General features: G+C 44.1%; 1 long non-coding RNA gene across 1 annotated transcript, besides 1 other annotated feature; it reads left to right on the plus strand.

Moving 5' to 3' along the window:
- Nucleotides 7,398-7,447: an enhancer, noted in NCBI's record as "active region_515". NCBI's record gives its function as "activates an Ori minimal core promoter by ATAC-STARR-seq in GM12878 lymphoblastoid cells {active_cell/tissue: GM12878}" and the evidence as "EXISTENCE:reporter gene assay evidence [ECO:0000049][PMID:35858748]".
- On the plus strand, nt 18,639-20,269 carry LOC105376888 (uncharacterized). The gene is made up of 3 exons (XR_001737950.2): nt 18,639-18,694; nt 19,748-19,822; nt 20,233-20,269. It is a non-coding gene; the product is annotated as an uncharacterized LOC105376888 (long non-coding RNA).

Below are 21,081 nucleotides of genomic sequence, written 5' to 3' on the forward strand. Positions count from 1 at the left end.
AGACAGGCTGGAGTGCAGTGGTGTGATCACAGCTCCCTGTAGCCTAGAACTTCCTGGCTGAAATGATCCTCCCACCTGAGCCTCTTGAGTAGCTGGGACCACAGGTGTGCGCCACCACATCTGACTTTTTTAAAACTTGTTTTTGTAGAGATGGGGTCTCCCTATGTTGTGCAGGCTGGTCTCAAACTCCTGAGTTCAATTGATCCTCCCGCTTTAGCCTCCCAAAGTACTGGGATTACAGTGCGAGCCACCATGCCCAGCCAACACTTTTTATTAAAGGTTCAACATCCCTAATCTGAAATTCCGAAATCTGAAATTATCCAAAATGTGAAACTTTTTGAGCACTGACATGACACCACAAGTGGAAAATTTCATACCTGACCTTATATGATGGGCCACTGTCAAAATGCAGGTACACAACATACAGCATCCCCAAGGGAAAAATAAAATTCGCTTCAGGCTATGTTTATAAGGTGTATATGAAACATAAGTGAATTTCATGTTTAAAAATTCCAAAACATTTCTGGTCCCAAGCATTTCCAATAGGAAATTTTCAACATGTTTCTGCTGTCTTTTTTTTTTTTTTTTTTTTTTTTTTGAGACAGGGTCTTACTCTATCATCCAGGCTGGAGTGCACTCTCACCACTCTTGGCCTGTAAAGCCTAAAGCCTAAAATATTTACTATCTGCTTTTTTTTTTTTTTTAACTCACATGTATGTTTACACACACACATACAGTCTTTCTCTGTCGCCCAGGCTGGGGTGCAGTGGTGTGATCTTGGCTCACTATAACCTCTGCTTCCCAGGTTCAAGTGATTCTCCTGCCTCAGCCTCCCAAATAGCTGGCATTACAGGCACCTGCCACCATGCCTGGCTAATTTTTGTATTTTCAGTAGAGACACGGTTTCACTATGTTAGCCAGGCTGGTCTCGAACTCCTGACCTCAGATGATCCATCCGCCTCGCCTCCCAAAGTGCTGGGATTACAGGCGTGAGCCACCCTGCCTGGCCACTATCTGCTTCTCTTTTTTTTGAGTAGTCTTGCTCTGTTGCCCAGGCTGGAGTGCAGTGGTGCAATCTCGGCTCACTGTAACCTCTGTCTCCCGGGTTCAAGCGATTGTCCTGCCTCAGCCTCCCTAGTAGCTGGGATTACAGGTGCACACCACCATACTCGGCTAATTTTTGTATTTTTTGTAGAGACGGGGTTTTGCCAGGCTGGTCTCGAACTCCTGACCTCAGGTGATCTGCCTGCCTCAGCCTCCCAAAGTGCTGGGATTACATATCTGCTTCTTTATTTAAAAAATGTGCTGACCCCAGGTTTAGAGGAGTTAGAGATTGCTTCCTAAAGGGGTGATATTTAAGATGAGACATGGGGACACCATAGGAGCACTTCTGAAAAAGGTGCAGCATGAGAAAAGGTATGAAGAGATATGTTAGTAACATCCTAGAGAGGAATCATTCATTGAAGTAAAAACTGCACTAGGTTAACCCCACTCTCCATCACTGCAGCTTACAACTACAGGACCTGAAGCAACAAGACACTGACAGGAAAACACGAGACACAGCATCAAGATGGTAGCACAGCTCACGGCCCACATCCCCACTCCCCTCCTCCTCACACAAAGGCCCAAAGCAAATCTTTGCATGATCACTTATTACCGTTTGTAAACGTTTAGTTAACTGAGTTTTGACCACAACTGAGTTTTGGTTCCAACTTTGATGGGGCAGAGGGCCTGAAGAAAGGATGAGCTGGCCACGCGCAGTGGCTCATGCCTGTAATCCCAACACTTTCGGAGGCCGAAGCAGGCGGATCACCTGAGGTTGGGAGTTTGAGACCAGCCTGACCAACATGGAGAAACCCCGTCTCTACTAAAAATACAAAATTAGCCAGGTGTGGTGGCACATGCCTATGATCCCAGCTACTCGGGAGGCTGAGACAGGAGAATCACTTGAACCAGGGAGGCAGAGGTTGCAGTAAGCCGAGATCGCTCCATTGCACTTCAGCCTGGACAACAAGAGCGAAACTCTGTCTCAAAAAAATATACATATTTTTAGTAGAGACAGGGTCTCACCATGTTGGCCAGGCTGGTTTCAAACTCCTGACCTCAAGTGATCCACCTGCCTCGGCCTCCCAAAGTGCTAGGGTTATAGGTGTGAGCCACCACACCCGGCTGGACACTCAATTTTAAATGATGTTACATTTTAAAAATTGGGTACATTGGTTTTGGGGGTTTGCTTGAGACAGGGTCTCTCTGTCGCCCAGACAGGAGTGCAGCATCAAGATCTCAGCTCACTGCAACCTCTGACTCCTGGGCTCAAGCAATCCTCCCACTGGCTGACGCCACCACACTGGGCTAATTTTTTAAGTTCCTTTTTTTTTTTTGTAGAGACAGGGTCTCACTATATTGCCCAGGCTGTTCCTAAACTCCCTGGCTCAAGTGATCCTCCCACCTTCTCCCTTCAAAGTGCTAGGATTACAGGTATGAGCCACCACACCCCACCGGGTACGTTGGTTTTAGTTTTGTTGGTTTTATTTATTTATTTAATTTATTTGTATTATTACTATTTTTTGAGATGGAGTCTCGCTCTGTTGCCCAGGCTGGAGTGCAGTGGCTCGATTTCGGCTCACCACAACCTCCGCCTCCTGGGTTCAGGCCATTCTCCTGCCTCAGCCTCCTGAGTAGCTGGGACTACAGGCATGTGTCACCATGCCTGGGTAATTTTTGTGTTTTTAGTAGAGACGGGGTTTCTACATGTTGGTTGGGCTGGTCTCAAACTCCCGACCTCAGGTGATCTGCCCACCTTGGCCTCTTAAAGTGCTGGGATTACAGGCGTGAGCCACCACGCCTGGCCTATGTTGTTATTAACTTAAAGCTGAAATAACTTAAAACTACAAATTGGGTCTTTTTTATGTCAGAAAAACAAACAAAAACCCACTGTGTTTGGAAGGCTCCCTGTAATCTATAAGAAGATCTTTAAATCTTACCAGGTTTCTAAATTATTTTCTCTTCTTCCTTTCTTTCCTTCTTTCTTTCTTTCTTTCTTTCTTTCTTTCTTTCTTTCTTTCTTTCCTTCTTTTTTGTTGTTGTTGTTGTTGACAGATTCTCGTTCTTGTTGCCCAGGCTGCAGTGCAGTGGTGCAATCTTGGCTCACTGCAACCTCCGCCTCCTGGGTTCAAGTGATTCTCCTGCCTCAGCCTCCTAAGTAGCTGGGATTACAGGCGCCCGCCACCATGCCCAGCTAATTTTTGTATTTTTAGTAGAGAGGGGGTTTCGCTATGTTGGCAGGGCTGGTCTCGAACTCCTGATCTCAAGTGATCTGCCTGCCTCGGCCTCCCAAAGTGTTGGGATTACAGGTGTGAGCCACTGCGCCACACCTTTTCCTGGTTTTAAATGATCCTCTCACCTTGGTCTCCCAAAGTGCTGGGATTACAGGGTTGAGCCACCCTGTCCAGCTATTTAGATTTAGGATTGAAAGGACTAATGGTCTGAAATCAGAAATTAGGAGGACCTAAAAAGAATAGAACCAATGGAGAACTTTTTTTTGGGACAGAGTCACTCTGTTGCCCATGCTGGAGTGCAGTGGCAGGATCTCAGCTCACTGCAACCTGCGCCTCCCAAGCTCAAGCGATTCTTATGCATCAGCCTCCCAAGTAGCTGGGACTACAGGTGCACGCCACCACACCCATTACGCCCAGCTTATTTTTGTATTTTTGTAGAGACGAGGTTTTGTCATGTTGCCCAGGCTGGTTTGGAACTCCTGGGCTCAAGGTAATCACCCTGCTTGGCCTCCCAAAGTGCTGGGATTACACCATGAGCCACCACACCCAGCCAATCAAAGGAGAAGGTTGGTAGAAAAAGTTGTATCTAGCTAAATTATATAAGCAAAAAAGTACTATGTTGGCCAGGCGCAGTGGCTCTCACCTGTAATCCCAGCACTTTGGGAGGCCGAGGTGGCTGGATCGCTTGAGGCCAGGTGTTGGAGACCAGCGTGGGCAACATGGCAAAACCTCGTCTCTACAAAAAATAGAAAAAATTAGCCAGGTGTAGTGGTGCACAACTGTAGTCCCAGCTACTTGGGAGGCTGAGGCAGGAGGATCGCCTGTGTCCAGGAGGCGGAGATGGCAGCGAGTTGAGATCGTGCCATTGCACTCCAGCCTGGGTGACAGAAATAAAACCCTGTCTCAAAAAAGACAACAATGACAAAAAGAAAAGGACTATGTTAACGTCTCAATTTTCTATAGAAGGTAATTTATCCAACAATCTAGGGTATCAGTAGGGGAATTGAGAATACTAGAGCAATTTAAAAAGACCATTGAACTGCTTGAAAAGCTAATACTATTCACTTCCAGGAAAGACTGTCAGATTCAAAGCCTATTTGCTCTTACTTTACACACAATGCTAATAAATTTTGTTACCTAGTTTCCTAGGACACAGATTAGGAAGAGAATTGCTAAAGCCAGGCACCCAGGAAGTAGCAAGTGGTATTATCTAATATCTTAACAAAGGATGGGATAAAACAGAAAGAAAATTATTGGAAGGACATAAAAGAACTCAAAATCACACTAGCCTCGGATCATTTTGGGTAGGGCAAAAAGCATAGCATATTTTAATATTTCTCAGAGATGCATTACTTTGGAGTTTCATTCTGAATGCTAATAATGACCAAGAAAATAAGAAGAGTTTAAATTATATTTGCTATACATTTCAAGAAGGCAGGGATCTATTTTATTTAAAATAAATTTTCATTAAAGTCATATTTTAAAACATTTTATACTGAAAGGGATTAGTTTTAATTATTTAGAAAATGAATTCAGGCTTTTCACATTATCCAAAGGTGTCAGATAAATGAAGCCTTAATGAATTATAATAGCAAAGTCAGAGTAAATACATACCTGTTTACATTGACATATCTTCTAAATGTGTCTTTAGATCTGGTTGGCTGCTTTGACCCCCAAGGAAGAGAGAATAAATAATGCATTTCCCTACAAGCTGATTAACAGTAAAAGTTAAAAAGATCCCATTGATATGCTCAGCCCCTCGGAAGACAAAATGAGTAGAAAATAGGAAAGGCATGTCATACTTTGTTCTGAGTTCTCAAGGATTAAGGAATGGTCATACAAACCAACCCACAATGTAATGTTTATACTGTTAAATAATACAAAACTATATAAATTAACAAAGATTATATATGAAAACAATTCTGTGGCTTATGCATTATATATATATATATATATATATATATGACATTGCTTAGAAATTGTTTAGAACTACAGCACACATATATGGCATTGCTTAGAACTATAGCATACATATATGCTAGAGTTTAAGTGTTTAAAAGGCTGGGCGCGGTGGCTCACGCCTGAAATCCCAGCACTTTGGGAGGCCGAGGCGGGCGGATCACGAGGTCAGGAAATCGAGATCATCCTGGCTAACATGGTGAAACCCTGTCTCTACTAAAAATACAAAAAATTAGCTGGGCGTGGTGGTGGGTGCCTGTAGTCCCAGCTACTTGGGAGGCTGAGGCAGAAGAATGGCGTGAACCCTGGAAGGCAGAGCTTGCAGTGAGCCGAGATCGCGCCACTGCACTCCAGCCTGGGTGACAGAGCGAGACTTTGTCTCAAAAAAAAAAAAAAAAAGTTTAAGAATTTAATAAGGTCATGAAATCCATTAATGGTATGGTTATCACTTTGGGATGCTTCTGAGGCTCTCAGGGAGTTATTGGAAGGTCAAAGTAAGATGAAGGCAGAAGATTCTGTGAGGCTATCAGCCAAGACCACCTGAGCCCATCTGCTTTTCTTCTGTTTTTTGTTTTGTTTTGTTTTGTATTTTGAGACTGAGTCTCACTCTGTCGCCCAGGCTTGAGTGGAGTGGCACGATCTCGGCTCACTGAAACCTCCACCTCCCAGGTTCAAGTGATTCTCCTGCCTCAGCCTTCCCAGTAGCTGGGATTACAGGCGCCCGCCACCACCTCCAGTTAACATTTGTATTTTTAATTGAGACGGGGTTTCACCATTTCAACCAGGCTGGTCTCAAACTCCTGATCTCAAATGATCAGCCTGCCTCAGCCTCCCAAAGTGCTGGGATTACAGGTGTGAGCCACTACACCCAGTCCATCTGCTTTTCTTCTTTGCTGTCTAAGACAGCAAGGTGTTTCTTGCCTGTTTTACTTAGGGGTAACAGGACTCATCAAGACACACTGAGGGACTCAGCCAAGCACACCACAGGTCTTAGGGCTGCAGTCTACTGTTACATTTCCCTACCTAGAAGCTAAACCCCATGGGAGCTGGAACCTTGTCTGTCTTGTGTATAGCACAAGGCTAGCATGTGGTAGTATACAAACATTTCTTGAATAAATATCATAGAGTGGCAATGAGAGTCTGAGGTAGATAAGTGCCTGCAGCCTTAATTTGGAAAGATTTTCCCAGGAATAAGAGCTTGAAGTGGAGATATACGGTCTACTCAGGGAGTTCAGGGTCGTGCATGATAATCTGTAATGGAACTATGCACCCCAGAATGAACTTTGACAAGGTCCCAGATTCAGGCATGAACATTTAGGGAAAGTATTTTAATTACTATGCTAGTTTTTCTTTGGGACTGATAATTTAAGTGTGTTTCTTAAAAATTTGTGTTTGGGTAGCTTTATTTATTCAGGAAGAACATCTTTATTTTTTTGGAAAACAGAAAACCTTTTCCTTGTTTTGCCATTCAGCAGGGCAGAATGTTTAGACTGATTCTTTTTTATAGAAGTAACTTAAGCATACCCAAATGTCTAAGTATACAGTTGTACCCCTTGACGTGACAAGAGAAAACAATCCAGGTGGAAATGAACAGTGAGAGACGTGTAGGTTCCCTATTCTTTGAGGAGTAACATAGGGAAATGAAAGTGAACTGAAGAGAGGAAGAAAAGTGGAAGCTGAAGAAACAGCCAAGATAATCAGGAAGAGAGATTTAAAATCACGCTCCTCTTGAGCTCCATGTGCATTTGCGCTTGCTTCTTTCTCTGCCTCTTGGTTGTTTCAAGGTACCAGGCATGAGTTCCCACACAGCACACCCTCGACCTCTCCTGGTCACACTCTGTCATGAGTCACAACCTTGATTGTGAACACAGCAAAGAGCAGGGCTCTCAGGGAGGAAGACAGTGCCTGATCCAGTGTCCACTACTTCAAGAAATGGGCATAAGGTGGCAGCACTGGTAGCACCTGCAGGTGTCTTGGAGAGGAAGCTTGGCCAAGGGCCAGCTGCACTTGAGCTGCTAAGTCCCAGGGAGAAAATGGAAAAAAAGAACTCTGCTAAAGTCCTCCTTACTAGAGTAGTCAGTAACGGGAGGAGAAAGGCTTCTCGTAGGGGAACGACGGTAGTCAGGAACTCCACTGGGAGGAGTGGGTGAGAGGGTCACATTGCTGTCTGGCACCCACACATCTGTTGGAAGAATGCTACCACTTATGAGAAAGGATTGAGACAGGTGAACAACATGGATGAAACTTGAAAACAGTATGCTAAATGAAAGAAACCAGTCACAAAAGACTGCATATTATATGACTCCATTTTTAAAAAATGTCCATGAATACACAAATCTGTAGAAATGGAAAGTAGATATTTTTCTTTCTTTTCTTTTCTTTTTTTTTTTTTTTTTTTTGAGATGGAATCTTACTCTGTTACCCACGCTGGAGTGCAGTCTTGCGATCTCTGCCCATTGCAACCTCTACCTCTTGGGTTCGTGCAATTCTCCTGCCTCAACCTCCCAAGTAATCGAGATTACAGGTGCCTGCCACTAGACCTGGCTAATTTTTGTATTTTCAGTAGAGATGGGGTTTCACCATGTTGGCCGGGCTAGTCTCAAACTTCTGACTTCAGGTGATCTGCCCACCTCGGCCTCCCAAAGTGCTGGGATTACAGGTGTAAGCCATCACCCCTGGCGTACAGAAAGTAGATTAATGGTTGCCTAGGGCTTGAAGCTGGGGAGAATGGGGAGAGGAGGCTAAAGGGTATGGAGTTTCTTTTCAGGATGATGAGATGTTCTAAAATTGATTGTGGTGATGGTTGCATAACTCTGAATATGCTGAAACCATTGAATTGTACAATTTGATGGGTGAATTGTAATTATATTTCAAAGCTGTCATAAAAAATGACTGATGAACATTTATTTAAAAATCAGACAGTAAAGGTTATAATGTGAGTGCATTCTTACCATCTTTCCCCTCCCTGGTCCTATGAATGTGGATGGCCACAATGGGAGTAAGAGGCATCCCTCTTCGTGGAACCACCCATCTTTTTTTTTTTTTTTGAGACAGGGTCTCGCTTTTTTATTCTAGGCTTACTATAGCTTTTACCTCCTGGAATCAAGGGATCTCCCACCTTAGCCTCCTTAGTAACTGGAAGGGAACCACCCATCCTTGAGACAGTGCCTCTCAGCCGGGCGCCATGGCCCACGCCTGTAATCCCAGCCCTTTGGGAGGCCGAGGTGGGCAGATCACGAGGTCAGGAGATTGAGACCATCCTGGCTAATACGGTGAAACCCCGTCTCTACTAAAAATACAAAAAATTAGTTGGGCGTGGTGGCGGGCACCTGTGATCCCAGCTACTTGGAAGGCTGAGGCAGGAGAATGGCGTGAACCCGGGAGGCAGAGGTTGCAGCGAACAGAGATCACACAATTGCACTCCAGCCTGGTGACAGAGTGAGACTCTGTCTCAAAAAAAAAAAAAAAAAAGACCGTGCCTCTCAAACTATTTTATTTTAGAGACCAGGTCTCTATATAACTGTTGGCCAGAGTAGTCTTAAACTCCTGGCCTCAAGCAATCCTTCTGCCTTGACCTCCAAAAGCACTGGAATTACAAGCATGAGCCATCACACCTGGCCAGGCTTCAAACTTTAATTTGCAGAAAAATAACCTGGAATATTGTCAAAATGCAGATTCTGTTTCAGAAGGTCTGAAGTGGGGCCTGAGATTGTGCATTTCTAAGATGCTCCAAGGTGAGGTTTAAACTGCTAATCCTAGGATCACACTCAGAAATGAGAAGCTCTAAGAGACCCAAAGAAATTATATTCTTTGATTGGGATCAGTACACACACACACACACACACACACACACACACACACACACACACAGATGCTTCTACTAACAGTTAATATTAGTACCTTGAAAAAGTACATTTCTAACATTATTGGATTTATTGCACATTTTTATTGAAAACCTCAGAATTCAGAATTTATAAGAGAGCTGAGTTTGAATCCTGACTCCATCATTTACCAGTATTGTAACCTTAAATTACATAATCTATATGAGCCTCAGTTTCTTTGCTTATATAGGACATAATAATGCCTCTTATTGGATTTTTGTGAGTATTAGAGACTATATAGCACACACATAATAGTCACTTGTGAGATAGCTTCTATTATTATTATTATTATTATTATTTGAGACAGGGTCTTGCTCTGTCACTCAGGCTGGAGTGCAATGGTGCAATCATAGCTCACTGTAACCTCGAACTCCTGGGCTCAAGCAGTTCTGCCTCAGTCTCCCCAGTAGCTGGTTCTGCAGGCATGAACCACCATGCTGGGCAAATTTTTTTACTGTGGAGATTAAGTCTGGCTATGTTGCCCAGGCTGGTCTCAAACTCTTGGCCTCAAGCAATCCCCCTGCCTTGGCCTCCCAAATTGCTGGGATTATAGGCACGAGCCACCATGCCTGGCCCAAGATAGCATCTATCAATGTGGCAAAATTTGTGTGAGATGAAGGATCTACCACACTTTCGTTTTCATGTTTATATTACTCCATATTTTCTTTTAAATCTTCTAAATCTCCCAAATCTTCAAATTTTGGTTCTGTAAGAGATGCTTCCCTAAGATATTTTTTCTTCTTTCATTTGAAGACATCACTGTCGTTTAGACCTCTAGTAATATCTATATGGAATATAATTTTTTTCTTTTGTTGAGATGGCATCTTGCTCTGTTACCCAGGCTGGAGTGCAGTGGCAGGATCTGGGCTCACTGCAACCTCTGCCTTCCAGGTTCAAATGATTCTCCTGCCTGAGCCTCCCAAGTAGGTGGGATTACAGGGGCCCATGACCACGCCCGGCTAATTTTTGTATTTTTAGTAGAGATAGGGTTTCTTCATGTTAGCCAGGCTGGTCTTGAACTCCTGATCTAAGGTGATCTGCCCACCTCGGCCTCCCAAAGTGCTGGGATTGCAGGCATGAGCCATCACATCCAGCCTGTATCATTTGGAAGCGATGTATTATTTGGAACCAATCCAAATAAAAGACAACACACACCTATGTGTGGGTGCAGTGGCTCATGCCTGTAATCCCAACACATTGAGAGGGTGAGGCAAGCAGATCACTTGAGGTCAGGAGTTCAAGACCAGCTTGGGCAACATGGCAAAACCCTGTCTCTACAAAACATACAAAAATTAGTCAGGCATGGTGATGTGTGCCTGTAGTTCCAGCTGCTCCAGAGGCTGGGGTGGTAGGAGCACTTGAACCCAGGATGTTGAGGCTACAGTGAGCCAATATCATGTCACTGCACTCCAGCTCGGGCAACAGAGTGAGACCCTGTCTCAAAAAAAAAATAAAAATAAAAATAAAAAAAAGGGCCCAGCTGTAATCCCAGCACTTTGGGAGGCTAAGGCAGGTGGATCACCTGAGGTCAAGACGAGCCTGGCCAACATGGGGAAACCCCATCTCGACTCAAAATGCAAAATTTAGCCAGGCGTGGTGGTGTGCGTCTATAATCCCAGCTCCTCAGGAGGCGGTGGCAAGAGAATCACTTGAACCTGGGAGGTAGAGGTTGCAGTGAGCTGAGATCATGGCACTGCACTCCAGCCTGGGCAACAGAGCAAGAGTCTGTCTCTAAATAAATAAATAAATAAATAAAGTGATTCAAAGTAAAAGCTTAGGCTGTGTGCAGTGGCTCATGCCTGTAACCCCAGCACTTTGGGAGGCCGAGGCAGGTGGATCACTTGAGATCAGGAGCTTGAGACCAGCCTGGCCAACATGGTGAAACCCCGTCTCTACTAAAAATACAAAAAAATTAGTTGGGCGCGGTGGCACCTGCCTGTAGTCCCAGCTACTCAGGAGGCTGAGGCAGGAGAATCACTTGAACTCGGGAGGCAGAGGTTGCAGTGAGCCAAGATTGTGCCATTGCACTCCAGCCTAGGCAACAGAGTGAAACCCTGTCTCAAAAAAAAAAAAAAAAAAAAAACAAAGTAAAAGTTTAGAATATTCAGTAAGGATCCAGTTGCAGTGGCTCACACCTCTAAGCAGGAGGATTGCTTGAGCTCAAGAGTTTGAGACCATCCTGGGTAACATAGTGAGACCCCATCTCTACAAAAAAACAAACAGAAAAATTAGCCCAGTGTGGTGGTGTGCTCCTGTAGTCACAGCTACTTGGGAGGCTGAGGTGGGAGGATCACTTGAACCCAGGAGGTCGAAGCTGCAGTGAGCCATGATCACACCATTGCATTCCAGTCACTGCACTGCAGCCTAGGTGAAAAAACGGGACCCGTCTTAAAAAAAAAAAAAAAAAAAAAAAAAAAAGGCCAGGCACAGTGGCTCACACCTGTAATCCCAGAACTTTGGGAGGCCGAGGCAGGCAGATCATGAGGTCAAGAGATTGAGACCATCTTGGCCAGCATGGAGAAACCCCGTCTCTACTAAAAATACAAAGAAAAAAAAAAATTAGCTGGGCGTGGTGGCACTCGCCTGTAGTCCCAGCTACTCGGGAGGCTGAGGCAGGAGAATCACTTGAACCCGGGAGGCGGAGGTTGCAGTGAGCCAAGATCATGCCATTGCACTCCAGCCTGGACAACAGAGAGAGACTCTATCTCAAAAGCAAAACAAAACAAAACAAACAAACAAAAAACAAAACAAAAAAAGAAAGAAAGAAAGAAGGAAGGAAGGGAGGGAGGGAGGGAGGAAGGAAGGAAAGAAAGAAAAAGAAATTCAAAAAGGAATTTTGGTCTCTGATTTTTAAGTGTAAAGCTGAAATAATTCAACAAAATTTATTTTTATTTTTGTTACAAATTCTTTCATACTTAGTTACATCATTGTGGTTTGTGGCCTCTGTTGTTTTCCTTTTCCTTTACAGGTACACCAGGCAAGTTCTCCTAATGCCTGGCCCTCAGGGAAGCTTATAGAGTGAGGCAATTTGGAAAACCCTGTTTTGGAACTGAGTTGCTCCTCAATAGCTCCCCATGGAAGAAGGATTCCTAGTACTGTACATCACTGGCACACAACTTGGTCTGGAGTGAGGACTGTGGCTTCCTTCTTGAGGCACTCTGACCCAGGAGATTCACAGACTGGAGCACCAGGTGATCACCCAGGCACCTTGTCCTCCCATGTAATACTTGAGCTAGTCTCCTCTGAGTGTTATAATGACAGACCCAAGAGGCTGCCCAATTTGTTTGCTTTCATTTTGTTTTTATATTCTTTCAACTTTTAGGCTGACCTTATCTCCCTGATTTTCCTCGTCTAGGGAAGAAAATGTGACATATACTGTCACAGGCAAGTTTCTAGCACACCATACCATGTTAGTGAAATGTGCTTCTTCCTTTTTTTTTTTTTTTTTTTTTGAGATGGAGTCCTGCTTTGTCACCGAGGCTGGAGTGCAATGGCCTGATCTCAGCTCACTGCAAACTCCACCTCCCAGGTTCAAGCTATTCTCCTGCCTCAGCCTCCTGAGTAGCTGGGACTACAGGTGCGCTCCACCATGCCTAGCTAATTTTTTAGTAGAGATGGGGTTTCACCATGTTAGCCAGGATGATCCACCCGCCTCAGCCTCCCAAAGTGCTGGGATTACAGGGGCGAGCCACCATGCCCAGCCTGCTTCTTCCTTTTTTCAATTTTTTTTTTTTTTTTTTTGGAGACGAGTCTCACTCTGTTGCCCAGGCTGGAGTGCAGTGGCACAATCTCAGTTCACTGCAACCTCTGCCTCCTGGGCTCAAGTGATCCTCCTGCCTCAGCCTCCTGAGTAGCTGGGACTACAGGCACATGCCACCATGCCTGGCTAATTTTTGTATTTTTGATACAGACGGGTTTTTTCACCATGTTGCCCAGGCTGGTCTCGAACTCCTGGACTCAAGTGATCCTACACCGTCAGCCTCCCAAAGTGCTGGGATTACAGGTGTGAGCCACCATGCTGGACCTTGCTTTTTCCTTTTAAAATAATTTTTCAATATACTTTTATAAATTTGACCTCTTGCCAACAACTTTCTATTACTGTGTACCCAGCACTACCCATATGAATGCCTAAGCAGTATAGAACTTAAGAATTTGTTTTCTTCTCTTTTCTAAATTATTAGGAGTCTAATGCTGTCAACTGGTAAATGTTTTGAGTTTAAGGTAAACATCACATAGTTAACAAATACTTTTACAAATGCTATAACAGACAATTGGGTTTGGGGCCAGGCATGGTGGCTCACACTTCCAATCCCAGCACTTTGGGAGGCTCAGGCGGGCGGGTCGCTTGAGCCCAGGAGTTCGAGGCCAGCCAGGGCAACAGGGCAAAAACCTGTCTCCACCAAAAATACAAAAATTAGCTGGGCGTGGTGGTGTACACCTGTAGTCCCAGCTACTAGGAGGCTGAAGTGAGAGGATCGCTTGAGCCCAGGAGTTTGAGGCCAGCCAGGGCAACATGGCAAAAACCCATCTCCAGCAAAAATACAAAAGTTAGCCAGGTGTGGTGGTGTACACTTGTAGTCCCAGCTACTAGGAGGCTGAGGTGGGAGGGTTGCTGAGCCCAGGAGGTAGAGCCTTCAGTGAGCTGAGATCACGCCACTGCACTCCAGCCTAGGTGACAGAGTGAGACCCCATGTCAATTTAAAAAAAAAAAGAAAAAAAAAAAGAAATAAAAAGAAAATTGAGTTTGGAGATGCCATTTTTTAAAAACTTTTTTTTTTTTTTTGAGATAGAGTCCCTCTCTATCACCCAGGCTGGAGGGCAGTGGCGCAATCTTGGCTCACTGCAACTCCACCTCCCGAGTTCAAGTGATTCTCCTGCCTCAGCCTCCCAAGTAGCTGGGACTACAGGCGCATGACACCACACCCGGCTAATTTTTGTATTTTTGGGAGAGATGGGTTTTGCCGTGTTTGCCAGGCTGGTCTTGAACTCCTGACCTCACGTGATCCTCCCACCTCGGCCTCCCAAGTGCTGGGATTACAGGCATGAGCCACTGCGCCTGCCCTAAAATCTTTTTTTTTTTTAAATAGAGAATTCTGTTGAACACATATTTTCAAACTTGAAAAATAAAACAAGGGGTCTACATAGTCAATGCAGCTTTGAATATTTAAAATTTCTTCAGGTAACTGTTCTGCTTTGTGTCGCTGCTAGGTGAGGCACTCAAAAAGGCTGAACTGAAGGAACGAACTAGCTGAAAGGGACAGCCACACTTTCATGGAGTGAGGAAGTGCTGGTTGCCAGTCTGGGACTTCCCAGGTCACTAATTTTGAAACCCACCAAACACTGATCTAATGATCAAATTCTAGTCTTTCAGTAGCAAGGATTGAAAGATTGGAAGACTTTATTCTGTTTCCTCATTGGAAGACTTTATTCTGTTTCCTCACCTAGCACCAGGATTCTGTTGGGGAGTTCCAATGAAAGGGACTCTAAGTGGGGCTTGCTCTTTCCTTTCTCATCTGTCCAATTAAGGAAATTATTTGATTTGGCGCATCTTAGCCATTCATTTTGGTGGACAGATGTTTCTCTTGCTACAAAGACCAAGGACCATTCTAAACCCAGACTTAGCTGAATCAGTAGAACAAATATCTTATGATTCCACATAGCTGCCTTAGGAGCACTGGGTTTCAAAACCATGCAGGAATCCTTGGCATGAGCACTGTTATGTACAGGAGCCTGAGTTTGAGAGCATACGGTGTGGTATAAATTTTACATTGTGTACATTTTTGTGCTATTTAGTCCAAGTATAATCACCCAGTGTGAGAGCCTAAGTGACCCTGAGACAAAAAAAAAAAAAAAAGGAAAAGTCCCAGCGCAGTGGCTCATGCCTGTGATTCCCAGAACTTTGGGAGGCCAAGGCAGGCGGATCATGAGGTCAGGAGTTTGAGAGAAGCCTGGCCAACATGGTGAAACCCCATCTCTACTAAAAATACAAAAATTAGCCGGGCACGGTGGAGGTTGCAGTGAGCCGAGATCGCGCCACTGCACTCCAGCCTGGGCAACGGAGCAAAACTCCCTCTCAAAAAAAAAAAAGAAAGAAAAACAAAAAAGAGAAGAGCGAGAAGGAAAGGGAAGAGCAGAAGAAAAGGATAAGTTACTTTAATTATCTTATCCTCTACAAGAAAAAAATGACTAATGTGTGAACCTGAGTATCAGAGTAGTAATAATGTTGATATTAATACCTTTGATAATTATACCAGTGACCTCAAAGTACAAAAAAAACCTCATTATTTTCCTTGTACTCACCAAAACCTCTTTAAGTTCCCATAAAATAGGAGTTGCCATGTCTTCAGTTTTTCCTTGTTTTTCTTCTCTTTGTTCATGGGCTTTCTTGGAAAATGAGGGTTTTGTTTTGTTTTGTTTTGTTTTCAGACTGAGTCTTGCTGTGTCACCCTGGCTGGAGTGCAGTGGTGCGATCTTGCCTCACTGCAACCTCCTCCTCCCGGGTTCAAACAATTCTCATGCCTCAGCCTCCCAAATAGCTGGGATTACAGGTGCCTGCCACCAAGCCCAGCTAATTTTTGTATTTTTAGTAGAGACGGGTGTTCACCATGTTGGCCAGGCTAGTCTTGAACTCCTGACATCAAGTGATCAGCCCGCCTCAGCCTCCCAAAGTGCTGGGATTACAGGTGTGAGCCACCGGGCCTGGCCTGTTTTTGTTTTAAAGATGACATCTCCATGTGTTGCCCAGGAGTGTGGTAGCTATTCACAGGCACAATTATAGCGAACTGTAGCCTTGGATTCCAGGCCCCAGGAAATACTCCCACCTCAGCCTCCCGAGTAGCCACTGTACCTGACAAAATGAGGGATCTTGATCTGAGTGCTAGGAACTTATAAACAAATATTGAATCCAACAGGCTTGTACTATTTTGGAGGTATGTTTTTCCTTTTAAGTAGATATCAGCTTATAATGTACTTTATGGGAGGTACAACAGTAGTGTATACTCAATGTTGTATATCATAGTAGAGTAATTATAAGAGGATCTCCCATTTATAGTAAACTGAATGAAAGGATTGACATCCCAAACCAAAAAGTGGAAAATGGCAAACTGGTTTCAAAATATCATAGTGAAGAGATGGCTATTCTACTGGAGGGGACCCTCTGCTCTGATGCTTCTAAGCAGACATAGTCCTTATAACTGGATTTTGTGAGTCTATTTGAAATCCTGGTTATTACAGTTTATGAATGGATACAGCCATTTGGAAACCTGACTTAGAATGAAAGTCTAGACATTTGTCTCAAAAGTAGAGCTAGCTCTCAAACTATATGCTCCTTGCTTTGAATACTGAGTAGGGCATAAGCCTTTAACTTTCCTTTCCTCATCTCCTACTCCCACTCACTTCCAAGAAGAACACCTCTGTAGAGTTTTCATCTGTCTTTGTAGTACTCCATTCCTGTAAATTCCTTCTCCACGTTTTTGCTATTTCATTTAGTTTGGAAAATGGCAGTGTGGAATATGTTTGGTATAACCTTAATCCTGGCCAGCGTCTCTGATCCCTAAAAAAAAAAGTATACATACATATATATATATATAAAAATATATATATATTTAGAGAGAGAGCGAGTGTGTGTTTTCTGGGGTTAAAAACACAGAAGTAAAAACCTTAAACACAATAGAAAACAAACCTCCCTTATTATCCAGGTCCCCTGCATATTTTTAGTTGTTTAGAAAATGTTTCTCCTGGGTCGGGCATGGTGGCTCATGCCTGTAATCCCAGCACTTTGGGAGGCCAAGGCGGGTGGATTACCTGAGGTTGGGAGTTCGAGACCAGCCTGACCAACATGGAGAAACCCCCGTCTCTACTAAAAATACAAAAATTAGCCTGGCGGGGTGGCGCATGCCTGTAATCCCAGCTACTTGGGAGGCTGAGGCAGGAGAATCGCTTGAACCTGGGAAGTGGAGGTTGTCGTGATCCAAGATCGGGCCATTGCACTCCAGCCTGGGCAACAAGAGTGAAACTCCATTTCAAAAAACAGAAAAAAAGAAAATGTTTCTCCTGTTGTTCCTGTTAAATATTTCTCATATTTTGGCATCACACACAAAAATATGATGCCAGAGGTTTGTGTGTATGTGTGTGCATGTGTGTGGTGGAGGTGAGGGGGAGACTTGGTCCTATAGCACGGTGTGCAATGGTGAAGAACCTACTAAATTAATTAATCTTCACATTAGCAGATAACTGAGAATATGAATCACTCACAGGCAGTCAAAAGGTGATGTCAGTGAACAGTTATGGCACAGCATGACTGCTCCTGTTTGACACTGCATTTAGTCCTAGCACTACTGCTATTGCAGGGCTCTCCTATGAATTTTATTGTGGAATTTCAGAAATTTCTACTGCCAGTTGGGTGCAGTGGCTCATGCCTGTAATCCCAGCACTTTGGGAGGCCAAGGTGGGAGGATCATTTGAGCCCAGGAATTCAGACCAGCCTGGGCAATATGGCGAACCCTGTCTCTACGAAAAAATTTTTAAAAATTACCTGGATGTGGTGGCACATGCCTGTAGTCCCAGCTATTAGGGAGGCTGAAGCAGGAAAACCACCTGAGTCCAGGGAGGTCAAGGCTGCAGTAAGCCATGGTCACACCACTGAACTCCAGCCTGGGCAACAGAGTGAGACCCTGTCTCAAAAAATAAATAAAATAAAGTAAAATAAAATTCTACTGCCAAGTAGTAGCTAAATGTAATTCCCCCCCCCCGACCCCCCACCCAAGACAGAGTCTTGCCCTCGGGTGCAGTGGCACTATCTCAGCTCACTGCAACCTCTGCCTCCTGGGTTCAAGCAATTCTCCTGCCTCAGCCTCCCAAGCAGCTGGGATTACAGGCACCCGCCACCACGCCCAGCTAATTTTTCCATTTTTAGTAGACAGGGCTTCACCATGTTGACTGAGCTGGTCTCAAACTCCTGACCTCAGGTGATCCGCCCGCCTTGGCCTCCCGAAGTGCTGAGATTACAGGTGTAAGCCACAGTGCCCGGCGCTAAATGTAATTTCTATAGCATTAATAAGTATTCCAGGAGGTAGTTAAATCAAGGAACAAGGTACTTAATGAAGTTTTAAAATACAGCTTTGGAATGGTTATTATTAGCAATCATCATACTGTTAATTTCTAGTTGAAAGAATAACAGGCTCACAAAAATTTCTAAGTCTTAGGAGAAGACCGATTTTGGTGGAAAGTGGGTCAGAAGAGCATGTGCAACTCAAGGATTGCTGAGGATGAACAAGTGCATAGGGTAAAGTTGCTTCATCATGAAAGGTGAGTATTTAGGGTAGAGACTGCGGTCTTGGTCTACATTACTTGGTTGAGATTATAAAATGGTTTCTGTCGACCCTCTCTACAATCAGTGACAAATTGTACTAATAATGATGGACTCCTAAAAACCCTCAGTAGCCAATCAGGTTGCAACCTCCTTCACCTTGAAGCTTTTTCCTAGAGAATATTTTCTTTCCGAAGGTTGTGTGGTACTTCCACTCTCCTTGATTCCACCTTGGAAACACTGGCTACTACTTCATAAAGAACTGGAAGGTAGGTGTGGTGGAGTCAACTAGAATCCCTCTTTTCTAAACCCTTTGGACTTCCAACTTTATCTGGGCTAAAGGGGCAAACACGTTAGCCACAAACTCGGGTTTTTGTTAGACAGAGTATCCATATTTTATTTATTTATTTATTTATTTAATTTTTTGAGACGGAGTCTCGCTCTGTCACCCAGGCTCGAGTGCAGCGGCGTGATCTCGGCTCACTGCAAGCTCTGCCTCCCGGGTTCACGCCATTCTCCAGCCTCAGCCTCCTGAGTAGCTAGGACTACAGGCGGCCGCCACCACGCCCAGCTAATTAGAGTATCCATATTTTTAAGTAGCTGTGAGTGATTAGGAGAAAAATACTTCAATGAGCTCTTGGGCTTTGTTCTGAAGTCGAAAGGGCCTAGTAAAAATGTGTAATCTCCATCCTGGTTTTGGTGTTTGGGGCAAAAATAGTGCCTAATGTTGCACAACACTGTGTGCTCTTGAGTGTAGTTTGCGGATGAGTTATATTAATGAATACACATTGTGATAGAGGTGTGTGTGTGTGTTTCCGTGCTTTTTTTTTTTTTTTTTTTTTTGGAGACGGAGTCTCATTCTGTTGCCCAGGCTGGAGTGCAGTGGCACAATCTCGGCTCACTGCAACCTCTGCCTCCTGAGTTCAAGCGATTTTCTCCTGCCTCAGCCTCCTGAGTAGCTGGGATTATAGGTGCCTGCCACCATGCGCAGCTAATTTTTGTGCTTTTAGTAGAGACGGTGTTTCACTATGTTGGCCAGGCTGGTCTCGAACTCCTGACCTCAAGTGATCTGCCAGCCTCGGCCTCCCGTATTGTTTTTAAATGGCTTGTTGGATAGGCTTGATGAAGTGTGCTGGATTATTTCCTCCATTGTCTCCTGTTCTCTCCCTCCCACAGCAAGACTAGAAGAGCAACAACACACTTCTATACAGGTCTCTAGTAGTCTCTTTGGAGGGGTAGGCCAATAAGAACCAACCTGCTGGTCCCTACCCCCAACCCCTCTGGTGACTTCTGAATCCAGTTTCAATATTGTTAAATTTCAGGGAAGAAAGTGATAATGTGGAAAAGTGCCAAAACTCAGTCTGATTTTTCCTGGCAGCTTTCCCTTGGTGTCATTGGTAAGTTCCGCATTTCACTGGAGTGGAGTGCCACACTGCTACTATGACTATAGTAGTCACTCCCACGCCTGACTTTTTTGTTTGGTCCATTTTATCTTTAGGAATAGGCATTTTCTGTAGGGATAGATGGGTTTAAACCCTATTAAAGCTAGTCAGAATGTTTTTCATTAGGGGCCACTCAATTCCTGTCTTATACCTAATAGATTTCTTTGGATTTTCTTTGATTCTTATACAAAAACACCCAGTATCATCATGCTGGAGGATTCTCTTAAGGTGGTTGCTTTGCAGAGAACAGACAGCACATTTGCTTTTTTAGCCACCTATCCTATTTCATAGGACTGCATGCCTGCCTCCCTCCATTTTGTCTGTGCTTACACTGTTTTTTCCTTCTCTTTCCAACTCTTCTACAGAACTTGTGTTGGAATAAAAGACTCCATTCCAGATCCATTCCAGAGTTGCTGTGAGAAACTTCCCCACTGACTCTTTTTCCTAACTCAGTAAAATGGCAGTGTAAGAAAGCTTTATGCAGGCAAGGGCTGAAAGAAATCTCCACCTAGAATACAGTGTTTGATTTTTCCTTCTGATTTTCTTGTCAACTCTCAAAAACTTCCCTTATAATCATTTTATATGTGTGAAATTTCCCTAGGTTGGTTTTAAAGAACAAAACAAAACAAAAGCAACCTACATTGGTTTAACATGGGAAATCCTAGATAACAGACTTTTCCTGTTCCTGGGCAATAGCCTTCTGTGCTAAGATTGGTGACCTTACCTTGGTAATATTGTTGGTGCTTAGCCTTCCAGATCTAAAAACAGCTTAGTGTAATAAGTACCAAGCACAAAATTGTTAAGTTTCTCTTTTGATTGACTATGAAGAGGCTATCAAGCTTTTTTTTGTTTTGTTTTGTTTTTTGTTTTTTGAGACGGAGTCTCCCTTTGTTGCCCAGGCTGGAGTGCAGTGGCGACATCTCAGCTCACTGCAACCTCCGCCTCCCCGGTTCAACCGATTCTCCTGCCTTAGCCTCCCGAGTGGCTGGGATTACAGGCGGGTGCCACCACGCCCAGCTAATTTTTTGTATTTTCAGTAGAAACGGGGTTTCACCGTGTTAGCAAGGATGGTCTCGATCTCCTGACCTCGTGATCTGCCTGCCTCGGCCTCCCAAAGTGCTGGGATTACAGGCGTGCGCCACCACGCGCGGCTCAAGCTTTAAGTAGGTTTTTCATACAGTATTTTTTGTATTAGTTGGTGAATACAAATCTTC

The sequence above is a fragment of the Homo sapiens genome, chromosome 1 (assembly GCF_000001405.40).
Source record: "Homo sapiens chromosome 1, GRCh38.p14 Primary Assembly".
NCBI lineage: Eukaryota > Metazoa > Chordata > Mammalia > Primates > Hominidae > Homo > Homo sapiens.